Source organism: Homo sapiens, chromosome 6 (assembly GCF_000001405.40).
Source record: "Homo sapiens chromosome 6, GRCh38.p14 Primary Assembly".
NCBI classification, from domain to species: domain Eukaryota; kingdom Metazoa; phylum Chordata; class Mammalia; order Primates; family Hominidae; genus Homo; species Homo sapiens.
Window position 1 is genome coordinate 49,604,577 of NC_000006.12, and position 17,446 is coordinate 49,622,022.

General features: G+C 38.2%; 1 protein-coding gene across 2 annotated transcripts in view; it reads right to left on the reverse strand.

Moving 5' to 3' along the window:
- The window catches only part of RHAG (Rh associated glycoprotein), a 31,665-nt gene continuing 14,817 nt past the window's right edge, over nucleotides 599-17,446 (reverse strand). Inside the window, exons 2-10 of one of the 2 annotated variants that reach the window (NM_000324.3) lie at nucleotides 14,603-14,786; nucleotides 13,492-13,642; nucleotides 11,048-11,195; nucleotides 10,111-10,277; nucleotides 7,821-7,958; nucleotides 6,448-6,569; nucleotides 2,574-2,644; nucleotides 2,272-2,345; nucleotides 599-1,254 (exon numbers count right to left, since the gene is read on the reverse strand). In NM_000324.3, coding sequence (NP_000315.2) covers nucleotides 1,237-1,254; nucleotides 2,272-2,345; nucleotides 2,574-2,644; nucleotides 6,448-6,569; nucleotides 7,821-7,958; nucleotides 10,111-10,277; nucleotides 11,048-11,195; nucleotides 13,492-13,642; nucleotides 14,603-14,786 — 1,073 coding nt within the window. In that variant the 3' untranslated portion in view covers nucleotides 599-1,236. Of the gene's footprint in view, nucleotides 1,255-2,271; nucleotides 2,346-2,573; nucleotides 2,645-6,447; nucleotides 6,570-7,820; nucleotides 7,959-10,110; nucleotides 10,278-10,333; nucleotides 10,729-11,047; nucleotides 11,196-13,491; nucleotides 13,643-14,602; nucleotides 14,787-17,446 lie in introns of those variants that run through there. The other variant, XM_011514788.2, reaches the window with a different exon arrangement.

The following is a 17,446-nucleotide window of genomic DNA, read 5'->3' on the forward strand; positions in this document are numbered from 1 at the left end:
GTTAATGGGTGCAGCACACCAACAAGTCACATGTGTACATATGTAACAAACCTGCACGTTGTGCACATGTACCCTAGAACTTAAAGTATAATAAAAATTATATATATAAAATAAAATAAAAGAAAAGAAGTCAACTATGTCAAGTAATATACATGAATAAAATATAAATTATATAATTTTTTTCAAGGAATAAAATATTAAATAATCCACTCTTAGTTATAATTTTTAAGTTCATTCTGAAGCTGGTGTTCTGTTAATTATGGTAGGGCTGATTTCCTTGTTGATACCTAGATACATCTTGGGAACATTTCAGGACTCCAAGGCTAGAAGAAAAATCTTTAAAAGCTTCCAGATAGAAAAAATAAGTTATTTGATTTTCTTAAAAATGATTTTTTGACGATGTCAGTTATCTTTTCTAAAATTTAACTTTTTACAACATTCTATAATGAGACATTAACTTGATTTTTTAAAAATAGCAAATACATGATAAATATTTAAATTGAGTGTGGACTAAATATGAAGTGTGTGTGTGTGCACCTGTGTGCTTGTTACTGACATGAATTCCAACTACCAAAGAAAGGAGAGTCAAAGACTGATGTTTTATTTTATAACAATATTTAATTATTGGACATTTTATGCAAAATAGACTTTGATCAGATAGCATTTGAGCTCGTTGCAAATAGTCAACATGCAAAAGGAATTAAGAATAATATTCATGCAAGGATACAACATTACTAACTAGACTATTTTTAAAATAAAAAGCACTACCTAAAATCATCATATTACTACTTTACACACATGCATTTCTTTAATTATTTTTTTACATAGATTTCTCACATCTATTCTTGCTTCATGGGTTTCAGTTTTATAATTTTTGGGATTGAAGACATAGTGTCTACATTAAGAAACTGACATGTTTACTCTGTATTTACTCACTGCCAAAAGCTTTTTGGGAATCCTGGAGAAGATCTATTTGATTATCTGTTTTATGAGTAACATCCCCTCAATTAATCATTGAAGAGCAAGAGACAGCATCAGACATAAGGACATTTTTACACTGGCCATTTGGGACTTAGGATCTATTCACTCTGGTCCATACTCTCTTTGGTTACTCCCTTTTTGTTTATTTGGACTTGATTCTGGATAATGGGAAAGGAAGCTGGAGAGCAGGAATGGTGTTTAGACTTCAGGTTCCAGCTGGCTGTGGTCACCATGTCCATGGAACTGATTGTCAAGTTATCTCGTCTTAGGGACCTTTAAAAAAACAAGTTTGAGGGCACTTAATAGTTTATTTCACTGTTCTTGTCAGAAATTAGTATTGAAACAAAAATATTTTTGGTAATTATTATTCAAGCTTGGAAAGAACTGGGAATAAAAATTGTTTGAGTTGAAGAAAAATAAAAGAATAAAACATTTATCTCACCCACCCTGACTACATTCCCGCTTTTCCAAACTCATTCTCTCTGAAATTTTGCTGAAAACACCCAAACATCTATCCCTCTCAAGCTTTGCGGGAAATAATTTGGGAAAAAGTATCAATAGAGTAAAGAGAAACTGGAGGATAGAAAGAGGCTGATGTTTCGTTATTCATAGGACCTCTTGATGTGTACTCACTCAAATTCTTCAACCTTATATATTTCACTTGCTTTTGACTACTTTTATGTATAGCATAGTTTAAAATTATGTTAAATTTCTTTTGTTTTTTGTTTTTAACCAAATAAACCTGTGGACTATATATGGTATAAAATCTCACACTATTTCTGAGAATTCATATTATTTTTACGAATAGCTTTTTATGGCTCTCAGAGGAGTGAAACAACATTTACTAACTAAATTCTTTTCTTTCTGTCTTTCTGTCTTTCTGTCTGTCTTTCTTTCTCTTTCCTTCTGCTTTAGAAAATACCATAACTTCTGATTTTATCTGGCTGGGCACATCATCTCAATTTCTTTCTATAAATAGGTAGTTCATTCAGTTTCTTTTCATTTATTTATTTTTCTTTTACACTTGACATCCCATTGAAAGAAAAATTTTAAATTTATTATTTATAATTTTTGTAGAGAGTTGCCCAGGCTGGACCCAAACTCCTGGCATCAAACAATCCTCCAGCCTCAGCCGCCCAACGTGCTGAGATTACATGTGTGAGCTACCTACCATGCCAGGCTAACTCAATTTCATCACACCTATGCACACAGATATCTAGGCTTGAAGTGTGTAAAGCTTTCACTAATGGAGTCATCGTTCACATTCTTGTTTAGAATACTGTACAGTACCTTCCAATAAACAGAATCATCATAGCAGTTCTGGTCAGATGGCTGTCCCCAGAGAGGCAACTTTAGAATTAAACCTGTGACGGTAGAGGGAAAATGAGTCATGTTGTGACGCTGAAGAGGAAAATCTACTTGCATAGTAGCTTATATACTATTATAAAATCATCCCCTTTAAATGACATAATTACTTTACTGCCAGAAGTTTAGAACATTTTTGAATTTAGCAATTGACTTGCTCATTAATTATCTATTGTAAATAATCTGAGAGCATAAGATACAGGGAAGTGTTCACTTTTTATGCTGACCTGTCATCAGACCTCCAACAACTGCTGTTCCGATAGAGGAACCCAGTGCAGCTGCCTGCATGGCCATAGACCTAAGGAAGCAAACAAAAAAGAATCAGTGTCTTTCCTGGATCTCAGCCAAAGAAAGTCTCACTCACTGAGGGTGTGGATGACTGCCATCTTCAGGCCAGAGTGTAACATTACACAGCAGCAAATTAAGCATTTGTTACAATTTTTCTTTCATATTCTTATTTTCTTTGAAACTCTTGAGCAGTGTTAGAAAATTCTGAGATACACCTTAAAGAAGAGAATCATCTTTTCATGTAAACTTTGGAAATAAGACTTTCCTTAGGGAGGGTTTAGCACTCTCAAAAAATTGATACCTGATCTGATTCATTTAATAAATATTGAGTATCCACTCTCTGTCAGTTTCTTTTCTAGGAACAGAGGATAGAGTAATACATAAAACAACATGAGCTACTAAAGCTAATTTCAGCATATATTGTAGAGATAGCTCATTGAAGATATTCAAGTATATCTCTATATGTCATCTTAGAAGTCATTGCCTTAAACTGAAATTAGTAAAAAATACTTTGTAATTTTGAGAATGAAAGAATGTGATAAAAGGCCATTGAAGTGCATAAAGGTGTTATATGAATGACAAATGACCTGGGAATGTGGGGATCTTCTTAGCACAGCAGCTTACTCATAGCAGACAATAAAGAGTTGTTGAAAGACTGAATGAGTGACTCCAATGAATAAAACAATTGGAAAATAAGAGTTTTTTTGGTCTTCCAGTCTCATCATCCAAGGGAAAGGATGCACTAAACTCAGATTCCTTTTTTTTTCTCCTTATCTGAAGGGTTTACATATTTTAATATATAAAAAAACTGCACAAGTAACATATCATTGTGAAAACATTAGAAACTGCAGATAACAAAAAGAAGCAGAAAAGTTTAATATCCCTCAGATTGTATCAGAATAAAAATGTAAAATAAAAACATGTATTTTTATTAAAATGCAATCTTACTATATTACTTATTTTCACATTAAATATGTTTTAGGGATCCGTTTATGTGAGTCAGTGTAGATCTGGACCATAGTTTGAATTGTGCAAAGTATTGGTTGCTTCCAGTGTTTCATATTTTTAAAAATGCTGTGAGAACATCTCCTCTGAACATGCTTATGAACTTGTCTGATTATTTTCCTAATATAAAACCTATCTAGAAATGAGAATATTAGTAAAAGGCTACATATACCTCTTTTTTTTGAGACGGAGTCTCGCTCTGTTGCCAGGCTAGAGTGAAGTGAGGTGATCTCAGCTCACTGCTGTCTCCTCCCCGCGTTCAAGCAATTCTCCTGACTCAGCCTCGCAAGTAGCTGGGATTATAGGCACCCACCACCATGCCGGGTACTTTTTGTGTTTTTAGTAGAGATGGGGTTTCACCATATTGGCCAGGCTGGTCTCAAACTCCTGACCTCAGATGATCCACCTGCCTCGGCCTCCCAAAGTGCTAGGATTACAGGCTTGAGCCACCGTGTCCGGTCTATATACTTCTTAAGAACTTTTCCAAATAGAAAATTGTACAATTTATATTCCAATTTTTTACTTTAGCCATTATTCAGTATTATTATTATTATTAATTCATTCATGCTTTATCGCTTTGATAAGTGAAAAACTGGTAGCTTGTTTTAATTTGCATTTCTTTGATTATGAGTGAAGTTGAGTATTTTATATATACTTATTTGATTTTCTTCTTTTGTAAATTTCCTGTTAATTTTATAGGAATTTGCCAAGATCTTTTACAAGGTCTTAAAAGATATTTTTGATAACAAGTGTTCTGTGATCAAATAAACTTGGAAAACACTGATTTATACAAAATTAACAGCATTACTAGAGTTATGCTGCTATAATTTGCAAAAACATCCCTTAAGAATATTAACTTTCCCTTGTTCTATGCTTACCAAAAACCTAATTTGCATTTTAATATTCTGAATAGACACATGTAAGTAGTTTGGTTCTCAGGCAGTATTTTATTTGGTGTGAGATATGTAAATTTTACCGAAGTGAATGCACCTTCAAGGCTTGCCCCCCTTCCCCTCTTCTGATATTCCTCTGCCTCCTACCCCCACCAACGAATAAATTGAGATGTTTCTAAACCTGCATTCCCAAGGACCAGACCCTCAACCATGAGACTTAACCAATGTCTGACCTCCCAGTGAGGCCTCCCTTTTGAGAGCCAGATAGACGTGTTTTATTGCATCTGTGAAACTGTTCTAGGCATGATGCTCAAGAATTCTTAATCATAGGCACCTCTTAGGGTGTTTGCACAGTGTATGCACACTCCAACACTGAGGAGTTGAGCTCATTCACACAGGCTTTTATCATGCTTAATTTGCATTAAAATATTTTAGTGTTTGATCTCTACAGTCTCAGGAACTGAAAAAGATGTGCATATTCTGGAGCTGTCTTCTAAATTTGCAAAAAGGGTTAAAAAATACAGAAGAAATGTGTCAACTGTACACATGAAGAAGGAAGCAAACTACTTAGTAGGAAATATGATTAAATGCGTTTTTCAAGTATTTATTATTATTGATCTCAACAGGGTTAAATTTTAATCTGCTAAAACTGAAGATAAGATTTTTCTTTTTAAATTATGCACCTCTAGTTAGTGATCATTCAGACATTTCTAGACACACATTTCCCTCTTCTTCATGCTTTCAATTGGATTTAAAAATTGAGCATTCTGCTATGCAGCCATAAAAAAAAATGAGTTAATGTCCTTTGCAGGGACATGGATGAAGCTGGAAACCATCATTCTCAGCACACTAACACGGGAACAGAAAACCAAACACCGCATGTTCTCACTTATAAGTGGGAGTTGAACAGTGAGAACACATGGACACAGGGAGGAGAACATCACACAGCCGGACCTGATGGGGGGTGGGGTACAAGGGGAGGGAGAGCATTAGGACAAATACCTAATGCACACGGGGCTTAAAACCTAGATGACTGGCTGATGGGTGCAGCAAACCACCAAGATACATGTATACCTATGTAATAAACCTGCACATTCTGCACATGTATCCAGAACTTAAAGTACACACAATTTAAAAAAATTGAGCATTCTGATTTTTCTTAATTTACTCTGTGTGATCTGGACTCTATGATCTTCTCAGCTTTTTCACATGGATGACATTCATACCAAATTGTTCCAATATTGTGGCATCCCTTCCATTCTCTGGGGTTTGCTTGATAGTTGTTTTTCCTCTGGTCATTTAAGTAAACATTTATACCCAACTTAGGGAAGAATCTACATCTGATAGAGCTAGAAGGGATTTTGGAGAATAAATACTCCAATCTTCTTATTTTACAGAGGAGAAGACTGAAAACCAGAAATGCTGAGTGATACCTCAGAGGTCACATAACTAGTTAGTAGCAGAGTTGGGGCCATATACCAGTGTTGTTGATTCTGCAGAACCAACTGCTTTCTGTATTATTCCAACTCATCCTTCTTTGTGTGGATTGGATGGAACTGACTGTTCAGCTCATCATATGTGCCTCCTCCTCCATTTTGGAGAGATCAAGAAAAAGACTAATCCTTCTATAATCTGACTGTGATTATCAAATTTCCCTGTCTGCTAGGAGACAGTTGTTTCTGGTAAAGACATTTAAAATAACACTGTTAATTTTTTTAAATTAACAATTTCAGTTAAAATGCCTCTTCCAATATAATTTTATTCTAATGATCTTCTCTCAGGCGCGTCTCTTTGGCTCCAGTAAAGACAATACAAACCATGGCCAGAACAGCTAAAATGAAAACTCTCCCATTTCTCAGAGTGAGAGAAAACATCATGGGACCACAGGGGCTGAAAAACCCATTCTTTTACTCACGTGTTGGAGGCGCCCATTGCTACTGCCACAATGCCTGCAAGGCCTCCCACTACACCAGGTAAGCCGTGGAGGTTATGGACCCCACATGTATCATGGATCCTCAGTTTAGTAGTAAAAAGTGGCTAAAATTATAAAAGGAAGAAGGTTTATTATTTAGTTAAACATATAGAACTCTAGAACTGAAACAGAGCTATAGCTGGGCTCTATTCTTCCATGGAGAAAAAGTATTTTATAAATAATTTTTATGTATATTTAAGGTATACAACATGATGTTATGAGATACATATAGAGAGAAAAAGGTCATATAGTGAAGAATATTAACGTCTCCAACATCTTACATAGTTACTTTTATTGTTGTTTTTTTGTGTTAAGAGTAGCTAAAAATCTCCTCATTTAGAATAAATTCTATGTACAGATATATAGTACAATTTTACTACCTATAATCCTCATGCTGTGCATTAGCGCTCTAGGCATATTCCTCCTGTATTCCTGCTACTTTGCATTCTCTGAACTACATCTCCCCATTTCCTTCTCCACCCAGAAGAAATTTTACGTAGAGCACAGTTCTCCATCCATATCTGAAGTCCACTTAAAGTTAAAGGATTTGAATATATAGTTGTGGCAAAACTGCCCATTTCAGTCTTTAGTGGATGGGTTTGAAAGGAATCATTTCACATTCTACTCCTTCTCACCTACTGATGACATCCTAAATCTCTCTTTTTTTTTTTTTTCTTTTGAGACAGAGTCTCACTCCATTGCCCAGGCTGGAGGGTAATGGTGCCATCTCGGCTCACTGCAACCTCCACCTCCCGGGTTCAAGTGATTCTCCTGCCTTAGCCTCCCCAGTAGCTAGGATTACAGGTACCCGCCACCATGCCCGGCTAATTTTTGTATTTTTTTTTTTAGTAGAGACGGGGGTTTCACCATGTTGTCCAGGCTGGTCTTGAACTCCTGACCTCAGGTGATCTGCCTGCCTCAGCCTCCCAAAGTGCTGGGATTATAGCTGTGAGCCACCATGCTTGGCCGACATCCTAAATCTCTTAAAAGAGCAGAGTCCTTAATTACATAAGACAAATAACAACAACAACTTCAATGGAGCAGTCCCAAAGGAAAGTAATGGCCATGTACTTAACATTTAATTCAAACTAAATTATAAATAATTGATACTGGATTCTTTCCTGTTACACAGAAGTCAGGGCAGAGTAGAACCACTGAACCACTGAAATGGGAGTGGTATTTCCAAAAAGAAGGCAAATGGTCTCCAAATAAAAATGTTTATAAAATAAAACTTAGTAGCTTTTTTTCTGCTGGTGGGACATGTGAGAAAAAAGGTGCAGATTCAGAGTTTGACTCAGAACATCTGCTGTACTTACAGTCAGGAACTTGTATCCAAGCACAGAGACCATTCCTGCAATGCTCCCAATAATCATAGAACCAAATGGGTGAATTGCCATATCCGCACAAGTGCCCACAGCAACTCCTCCAGCAAGGGTGGCATTCTGAATGTGAACCTGTGTGAGCGGCAGAAACATAAATGAGGTGAGCTGGATGATGGAGAATTCAGAAGGATCAGAGGATTCTAGAGTTCAAGAGACCCACATCACATTCTTCAGTTGAAAGGGCTATTGGTTCTTTTTTAAAAAGAGGTTTGTTTGGATTTATAGAAGGCCTTTCTTTCAAGAAGTTGACATTTGGTATCTTTCTTGCCGGTCCCTTGGTAGTGAATGAGTAATCAGCTTAACTCTTTAAGGCCAGTGGTGGAAGACATTTGAGAAAATCAAAAGATGTTGTAGTGGGAGGGTAGGAGTGTTTAGAGCAAATATTCTCGCAATGTTTTTTCTATTTATGCAGTTTTCGGAACACATTTGTGGTTATCATGAACCAAAAGATGACTATGGCCACCGTGTGTTTTGTAGTCTATGATATTCTAATATTCAAAGAGGAAATGTAGAGACATTGAAATGTACACATTACATATGAAAGACAATAGTTTTTGCAAATGTCACTGGATTGAGGACATTTGAGGATGAAGGAAAGAGGAACTGATTTTTTTTTTTTTTTTTCGAGATGGAGTCTTGCTCTGTCTCCCAGGCTGGAGTGCAGCAGCGCGATCTTGGCTCACTGCAACCTCCACCTCCTGGGTTCAAGTGATTCTCCTGCCTCAGCCTCTCTAGTAGCTGGGATTACAGGTGCACGCCACCATGTCCAGCTAATTTTTGTATTTTTAGTAGAGATGGGGTTTCGCCATGTTGGCCAGGCTGTTCTGGAATGCCTGACCTCAGGTGATCCACCCACCTTGGCCTCCCAAAGCACTGGGATTACAGGCATGAACCACTGTGCCCGGACAGGAATCAATTTTTGTTTAGCAGAATTTCTCAGAAAAGTTGCAGTCTGGCTATTCTGTCTGAGAAGCAGAGGTCATCAGTACTTTTAAAAGAGAAACACTGAACTGTGCGATTTTTCCTTTTCATTGTTTTTAATGACCTCTCATGAGACAATTTGTGGAGAAATAAGATATATGTCCTCAGCAATGCTTAAAAAATAAATTACAATAGCATTTTCCTCCCCACTCCACCCCACCTGCCCCACCCAGCTAGAAGGGTAGACTGGCTGATCTGAGGGTTACTCCTTTACTGGTGTTTCTCTAGCTCATAGGCAAGAAACTCAAGAGACCAATTTGGGGGAATTTAAAAAATATTTTATTTTGAACTAATTGCAGACACATAAAAGTTGTAAAAATGCTACAGAATGTTTCCATATGTCCCTCATCCAGTTTCTCAAATAAGATGTTAATCTTACATAACCATGGAATCGAAATTAGCATTGATAAAATACTATTAAAGACATTTGAATTTCACCATTATTCCTACTGAAATTTTTTCTAGTATCCTATTGAAGATCCCACATTGCATTTAGTTGTTATTTCTTTGAGAGGAATGTTTGCAGTTGGGAGAATAGAATCAGTGTGCATCATCCCACTCTCTTTTTCTGCTGTTTGATAAATCTTGTTTCTAAGAAATCTTTTCTCAGAACTTGGGAGCAGTTAACTCTATTATTAAAGAAATATACCTCAAATCAAAGATTTTTACAAGACTACCTTCATTCTCTACTAGACTGTAAATCCCTTGAGAACATTTTTTAATCTTCCAGGACAAAAATTTTTTTTTTCTTTTTTTTTTTCTTTGTGAGATGGAGTTTCGCTCTTGTTGCCTAGTCTGGAGTGCAATGGCATAATCTCGGCTCACTGCAACCTCCACCTCCCAGGTTCAAGTGATTCTCCTGCCTCAGCCTCCCGAGTAGCTGGGATGACAGGTGTCTGCCTCCACGCCTGGCTAATTTTTTTTTTTTTTGTATTTTTAGTAGTCACAGGGTTTCTCCATGTTGGCCAGGCTTGTCTTGAACTCTTGACCTCAGGTAATCCCCCTGTCTAGGCCTCCCAAAGTGCTGGGATTACAGGCATTAGCCACTGCGCCCAGCCCAGGGTACAGATTTGATGAATAAGTGAATTAATGAATAAATGTTGTTGTTTTTAGAACATTCTACAAGGTCTGCTTCTGATTTGTCTTGAGAGTTCAGCAGTGATGCAGAAATTACCTACTACTTATCTGAGCAACTGTCAGTGTTGTGAAGCAAAATTTCCATGAGGGCTAAGGCGGCACTTACCATGTTGAGCTTGCCTCGGTGCTCCACTAGGCTGGAGAAGGCAAAGGCTGTGAGCACACAGGCAGCGAGAGAGAAGTACGTGTTTACAATGGCCCTGCACTGTTTGTCTCCAGGTTCAGCAATGGCCGAGTTAAAGCTGGGCCAAAACATCCACAGAAAGAGAGTCCCTGTAGTGAACCAAAAGAGGGGATATTAGTTCTGAATATGGAAGACAGTCCAGAGGATGCAGTTTGCTTTATTTATTTATTTACTTATTTATTTGTTTATTTATTTATTTTTGAGATGGAGTGTCCCTCTGTCACCCAGGCTGGAGTGCAGTGGCTTGATCTCTGCTAACTGCAACTTCCACCTCTCAGGTTCAAGCAATTCTTCTGCTTCAGCCTCCTGAGTAGCTGGGATTACAGGTGCGGGCTACCATGTCCACCTAACTTTTTTTTGTATTTTTAGTAGAGACGGGGTTTCAGCATGTTGGTCAGGCTGGTCTCGAACTCCTGACCTCGTGATCCACCCGCCTCGGCCTCCCAAAGTGCTGGGATTACAGGCGTGAGCCACCACGCCCAGCCTGGAGGATGTAGTTTCCTTTGGCCACTGACAATGTCTCTGTTTAGTCTTGATTATCTACAGTTAAGAGAAAAGAGGAGAATTGAGCCAGCATAAAGTAGTATGCAAAAGATGCTCATTTTTTCAAAGTTTAATTGAATTTATTATTATTATTATTATTTTTTAGAGATGGAGTCTCATTATGTTACCCAGGCTGGACTCAAACTCCTGGGCTCAAGTAATCCCACCTCAGCCTCCTGAGTAGCTGAGGATACAGTCGTTCACTACCATGCCTGGCTTGGATGTTCTTTTTGAGCATCTCACACCCTTGTTGAAGTTAACCTTCTCTGGTGCCTTTTCAAATAGATAAGATTCAAGCAAGTTTATCCACACTCACCAATCATTGCAAACAAGTCTGAGTAGTATGCGGACTCTTCATTTTCATGCCCCTTTCTCAGTCCAGATCGATACAAGATGCCTGCTACAGCCAAGCCAAAGTAGGCCCCAAAGGCATGGATCGTCATTGATGCTCCAATGTCAGAGGCCTGAGGGACAAAATAGCATTCACATAAATAGAGGTGAACCTGAGACTCATTTATGGGAGGAAAGTCAATGAAAGAATTGCATTGTTGGTTAAACAACTTAAAAAAATTAAAGAGGGACAGAAAGATTGTGTCAGAGAAAGGGGGGTAAAACAGGGAGTAAAACAGAAATAGTACAGAATTTGGAGCCATACAGAACTGACTTTCAATCCTAGGTCAGTTACTTCCTTGCAATGTGACTTTAGACAAATTATTAAACATCTCTGATCTAAGGATTCTGTAAAATGGGGAAATATTACCCACTCTCAACAGAGTTTGTGGTGAGACTTAGATAAGAACATATTTCTAAAGTGCTAGTTCCCTGGTGGGCACACAAGACATGCAAGGTTGCTTCTCTAGGTGATGGAGATTTTGAGTGAAATATGTATTGCTCAGCCTGGCCTGGTGGTGCACGCCTTGTAGTCCCAGCTACTGGGGAGGCTGAGGCAGGAGAATGACTTGAGCCTAGGAGTTTGAGGTTACAGTGAGCTATGATTGTCACATTGCATTCCAGCCTAGGTGACAAAGCAAGAACTAATCTCAAACCAAAAAAAAAAAAAAAAAAAAAGATACTGCTTGCGATACAAAATGAAGATGATATGTTCACTTGAAATTGCAGTTAAAGCTCACTTAATTGTAACTCAAGACTTGAAACTTCAAAAAACCAGAGTTTTTACCCATATTTTTTTAATTCTGCTCTATGATGACATGAAAACCAGCTGAGGTCCCAGATTCACTTCAAGAGATTTAGATTCCTCTTTAGGATATGATGTGGTTTTGACCCAGTTTTCTACATTTCTTTCCTCTAGAGGGAATACTCAAAGGGTCAAATTGTACTTATAGACAGTAAGATGACACACATCTATTTATGAAAGATTTTCAAATTTAAGTAAAAAGGGTCTCCTAGTTGTTGTTCCTTTGTTTACTAGACATAGACAGACCCAGTCCCCTTGAAGATCCACACTTGGTTGTAATGAGTCAAATATCTTCCCAGCATATATGATCTATCTAGCAACCTTTAGCCTCCCAGCAACACTTAGTCCCTTCCCAGCTGGGAAACCTTGCCTTGCTTCACCAGGTGGCTTCAGGAAGATGGGAGGTGGCTATTAATCATGCTTGGACTTTCCAAATACCATGTGAGTCTGTGCCTATCTTGAAACGCTCACATATTTGCAGGCAAAATAACCTTCTCTGTTTTTCCCTTTGGGACCATCAAATAAGTCTTCATTCAGCTAGCACACAGAGTTTACAGAGTCTTTATTAATCTGACCCACTTACTTTGGTGGTTTCATCTGGTATCGCTCAAGTCTTTTCACCTTACTCTAGAAGTTTTCTTTTAGTTCCTCATCACCAATTCAAGACTGGTTGTTGTTACCTTGGCTTAAAGAACTTTTCTCCCCATTAGTTACTGGAAAACTTCTAGGTATCTTTTAGGTCCAGCGTAACTGTCACTTACTCAGGGAACCCCTCCTTGATTCTACAATCTAATCTTCCAGTTACACTTTCTCATAGACCTACCCTACATATTTTTCATAGCATGTATTGCAATTTATAATAACATTTGTGTGTTTGTGTCTTTGGGTGGGTGGATGAATGTGTAATTCTTTATTTGGTTTCTGTCTCTCCCACTAGAGTGTAAGCTCTATAAAAACAGGAACTTTCATATTTTGTTTGTCATTGAGTCCCCAACATCTAGAAAGTTATCAAAAATATTTGCAGTTGAATTAATGTTAATAGAAATACAAACAAAGTAACAAAGTACTAGAATGCCCCTAAATGTTCTTTATTTATTTATTATTCCTGGGGGGAATCAATGAAATATTTGTGGAGAAAAAAGTTTGACTGAGGCCTTAACAAAAACCACTACAATGTTTTATATGGGGCTATTCACCTAGTAGTAAAAATATAAAAAAGGAATTCATCATTGATAGGCAAAAGAAGAGTTGAGGAATTAGAAAAATCTGGAGGTGAATTCAGACTCTCGCAAGCCATTCAGCATCTGTGATAATCAGTTTTTATGGTGTATACATGATAATAAAAATAATACGTACAATGCAGTGTTGTTGTGAAGATGAAATAAGATAATGTTTACAAAACTCCTAGTTTACAGTAGGCACTCAGTAAATGATGGTTATTGTTACTATTTGCTACGGTATCACTCTCACCAAGATTTGCTCCCATATACCGTAGACACCCATTGTTTTTTTGTAGCCAGAACTGATGCCCAAAGCTAGGAAAGTATAAATTTTCTAACTCTTACCTTAAATATTTCACTAACCAGGTATTCATTGTGGGCAAAGAAAACAATTTCTAAAATTGTCATGATCAGCATTTGGGTGGGGCTCGTTTTTCCCAGGACAGCTCCAAAAGATATCAGAACTGTGGCTGCACTGAAGTCTGCATTTATCATGCTGAAGGGAAACAAGAATAAATTGAAGAGTAATGCACACCCAACATAAAACTGACCAAAGTGCAATCCCATCTCCCACCAGGCACATCCAGTGCTTCCCAGGCTTACTCATCATCTCCCACTTCCTTATTCCTCCTCTTTTTGACCAGACACTCTTTAATTGCTCTAATGTATATATTTTAACTCACCTTTTATCTCATTTAGGGTTTTCCTTTATATTCTTTGATCTAATAAGTGAATTATTTCCTGGGGTGTGTGTTTACTATTGCACAACAAGAATACATGTTTACATTTTAGAAACAATCTGAAAAATAACTAATGGGAAATTTTTGCTCCCTGTAGCTGAGATGGAAGGAATAATACTTTTATGGAAGAGGGTTTCTCATATCCTCAAAGTCAAACCAGAGAGGTTACAGACATGAATGTATTATCCAGCTCAGTAGAGGAAGGCATTGATTCAGATTTTTGAATTTAAACAATTTTCTGTTGCATAAGGGAGGCAATTTGCCAGCCAGTACAGTAAATGACAGGGGACTACCAGAGAAACGATTGATTTGAAAATGAAATGGCTGATAAATAAAGAATTGTCTTAGTCTGCTTGGACTGCTATAACAAAATACCATAAACTGGGTTGTTTATAAATAACAGAAATCTATTTCTTATGGTTCTGGAGGCTGGGAAGCCCAAGATCAAGATGCTGACAGACTTGGTGTCTGATGAGGGCTCCCTTTCTGGTTGGTAGATGGTGCCTTCCAGCTGTGTTCTCACACAGTGGAAGGGGTCAGGAGTCTCCTGTGGACCTCTTTCACAAGGACACTGATCCCATTCATAAACACTCTGCCTTCATGACCTGGTCACCTCCCCAGTCCCCCACCTCTTAATATCATCATGTTGGAGGTTAAGAGTGTAATATATGAATTCTGGAGGATGCAAACATTCAGCCCACAGTAAGGATGCTCACTTTTTGATTCCAATGTTAAATTTCTGTCCCTGGCTTTGCAGGATTCCCTGTACAATAGTGCCCCACTGGAGGCCCAAAGCAGCAACGAGTAGGTTGATACCCACACTGCTGAAGCCATATTTCTTCAGGAAGGTCATGAGGAAGCCAAACCCAACAAATATCATAACATGTACATCTTGGAACACTGGAAAAGAGGAAAGGAAAAAATATCTGCATTATGAGAGCATGAAGAAAGTACTGCATCATAGTATACCCCACTTATTAAGTGCTACCACCTTTGTATAACACACTAGGAAAAGAGAGCATTTAACTGGGAAGCAAAAGTCTTGTTCCAATGCCAGCTTGACTACTTACTAACCAAGAGACTTTGGCAAGTTATTCAGTGTTGGAGCTTTTTATTGGGAAGACTATGCACTATTACAACAGTGTGTCTTTCATCCTGTCCCTGAGAAATTCTACATTGTTTTCCACCTGAGGACAGACTTACAAAGCACAGAGCAAGCATCACCCCTTCTTGAAGACTTTCCCAATACTCTCAGGAAACAGAATTATTTTCTGTTTTCATTTACATAGCTTTGTGTATATACTTTAGCTTTATCATTGTCATGCTATAATAGCATTTATTTAGCATTTGTCACACTGTAATAGTCAATAAGGTGTCCATCTCCTGCACTAGATTGTGAACTTCTTGATTGAAGGGGTTTGGAACCATTCATACCTGGCTCTCTTTAACTTGGCATAATAGCTTGCATATCAGAGAAGAAGTAGTACGTTTCTTTGATGGATGAGTCTCCATTTATCAAATATGTATAATAGCACCAGCCACGAAAATCTTACCAGATCATTATTTGGGTCAAATGGGATAATTTCTTTGTTAGCACTTTATGAACCATGAAGCATTAATAAACATAAAGGCTGTATCCTCTTGAGTAACAAATATTCAACTTGGTGTCTGGGGATATGGGCTCAGGTACCTGAGTTCAATCACATGACTGTGTGACCCTGGGCAAGTCACTTACTCTCTATGAGCTTCAGTGTTTTCATCTGCAACATTGTAAAGGCCCTATTTCACAGAATAATCCAAGTGGGATCACCTGTGTAGGAGGATTTGCATACGGTAAAGTATTATGCCAATAAAACATATGATCAAATGCAAGATAGTGAAAACATGAGCTCTTCCTTCAAGAAACTGACAGTTAAGTTGGTAAGACATATATATGGATAAACCATATATGAGATTGACATTTTTGCATTGGAAATAGTCCTTCGATCTGAAGGAAGGATCTGGGCAGTACACATAACAGCATCCACTACAGTGGACAAACCTGAATGGGGCACCATAGTTTCTCTCTCTCTCTTTTTTTGGGGGGGGAGACAGAGCGAGACTCTGTCTCCCAGGATGGAGTGCAGTGGCATGAACTCGGCTCACTGCAACCTCCGCCTCCCAAGTTCAAGCAATTCTCCTGCCTCAGCCTCCCAAGTAGCTGGGATTACGGGCGCATGCCACCATGCCCAGATAATCTTTGTATTTTTGTAGAGATGAGATTTCACCATGTTGGCCAGGCTGGTCTCAAACTCCTGACCTCAGGTGATCTGCCCACCTCGGCCTCCCAAATTGCTGGGATTACAGGTGTGACCCACCATGCCCGGCCCCATAGTCTCTTTTAAATTAAACATCACCATTGTGGCCAGAGGTTTAAGTGGAAATAGGTATGAGGGAGGATGTGCCTGGAAAATATGTCCCAGAAGAAACCAACATTAAAAGTCCATTAATTTGCCCAAAGGATGAAGTCAGGATTTGAACTCCAACCTGACTTTCCTGATTTCTCCATTCATTGAGCACTGTAGGGGTATAAAATAACCGAAGCAGAGCTCTGGCTTCCGAGGCACACAGAGACGTTACTGCTTCTTGGCTCCTCTCTACTTCTGTTCTGCCATCAGGCTCAGGGGCTAGTGTGTTGAGGGTAAGAGACTGTGGTACACTACTCAGGCTTGTCTACTGCAGTGGATGCTGAGATGCGCTGCCCAGATGCCCCCTTCAGATCAAAAGACTTATTCCTCTCATTTTCCCTGGCGGTCAGGAGTGCCGCCAGATGAAACCCTAAGCTCTCAATTCTCTCTGGAAAATGCTCTTCTTTTGCTCAAGATCATAGCTCTTCCTTCGGGTAGTCTGGACACAATAACTGATTCACATGAGCAACCGCTTGTCTCAGAAAAGGACCACCTAAAACTGGATAATCCTAGCTTCAGAGCCTCCTGAAGGGTCAGCTGAGGCCTTCTCCTTCTCTGCCCAAATTCTTTCCCTCAGGTGTTGATCCTTAAGGTGTTGATTCCCATCCCATACCTACCCAGGGTACCCTAGAACTGAGATTTTACCTGACTCGCTGATGGGCATTTGTCAATTAATATCAACCTGTTTCCCTTTTTGCTTTTTGAAGTAGAGATAATCACATATATTCATTTTTCTTTACACATTGATTTGTCACCCACCATTTAATTTTTGTATGTAAAAATTTGATCTAGATCATAGAATAAATTGGACAGGAACTTAGGGGATATGCATGATTCTTAGTATGGTTTTAGTAAACCTTTATGGGACTCAGTTATCTTTTAAGGAATACTTGGATTACATGATGTCTAAAGTGTCTTAGCTCTACAATTTATTTTATTTTGCATTTAGGTCAGGACACTGAGACACAGAGAAGTTAGGTTACTTGTTTATAGTCACAAACTAGAATAAAAATAAGGACTCAGTTTTTTTCATTTTGTTCATTTTTTTTAATTACACAAAGTTTTTCCTAACATTCTTTTTTTTTTTTTCTTAGAGCACTCTGGTTCTGCCTG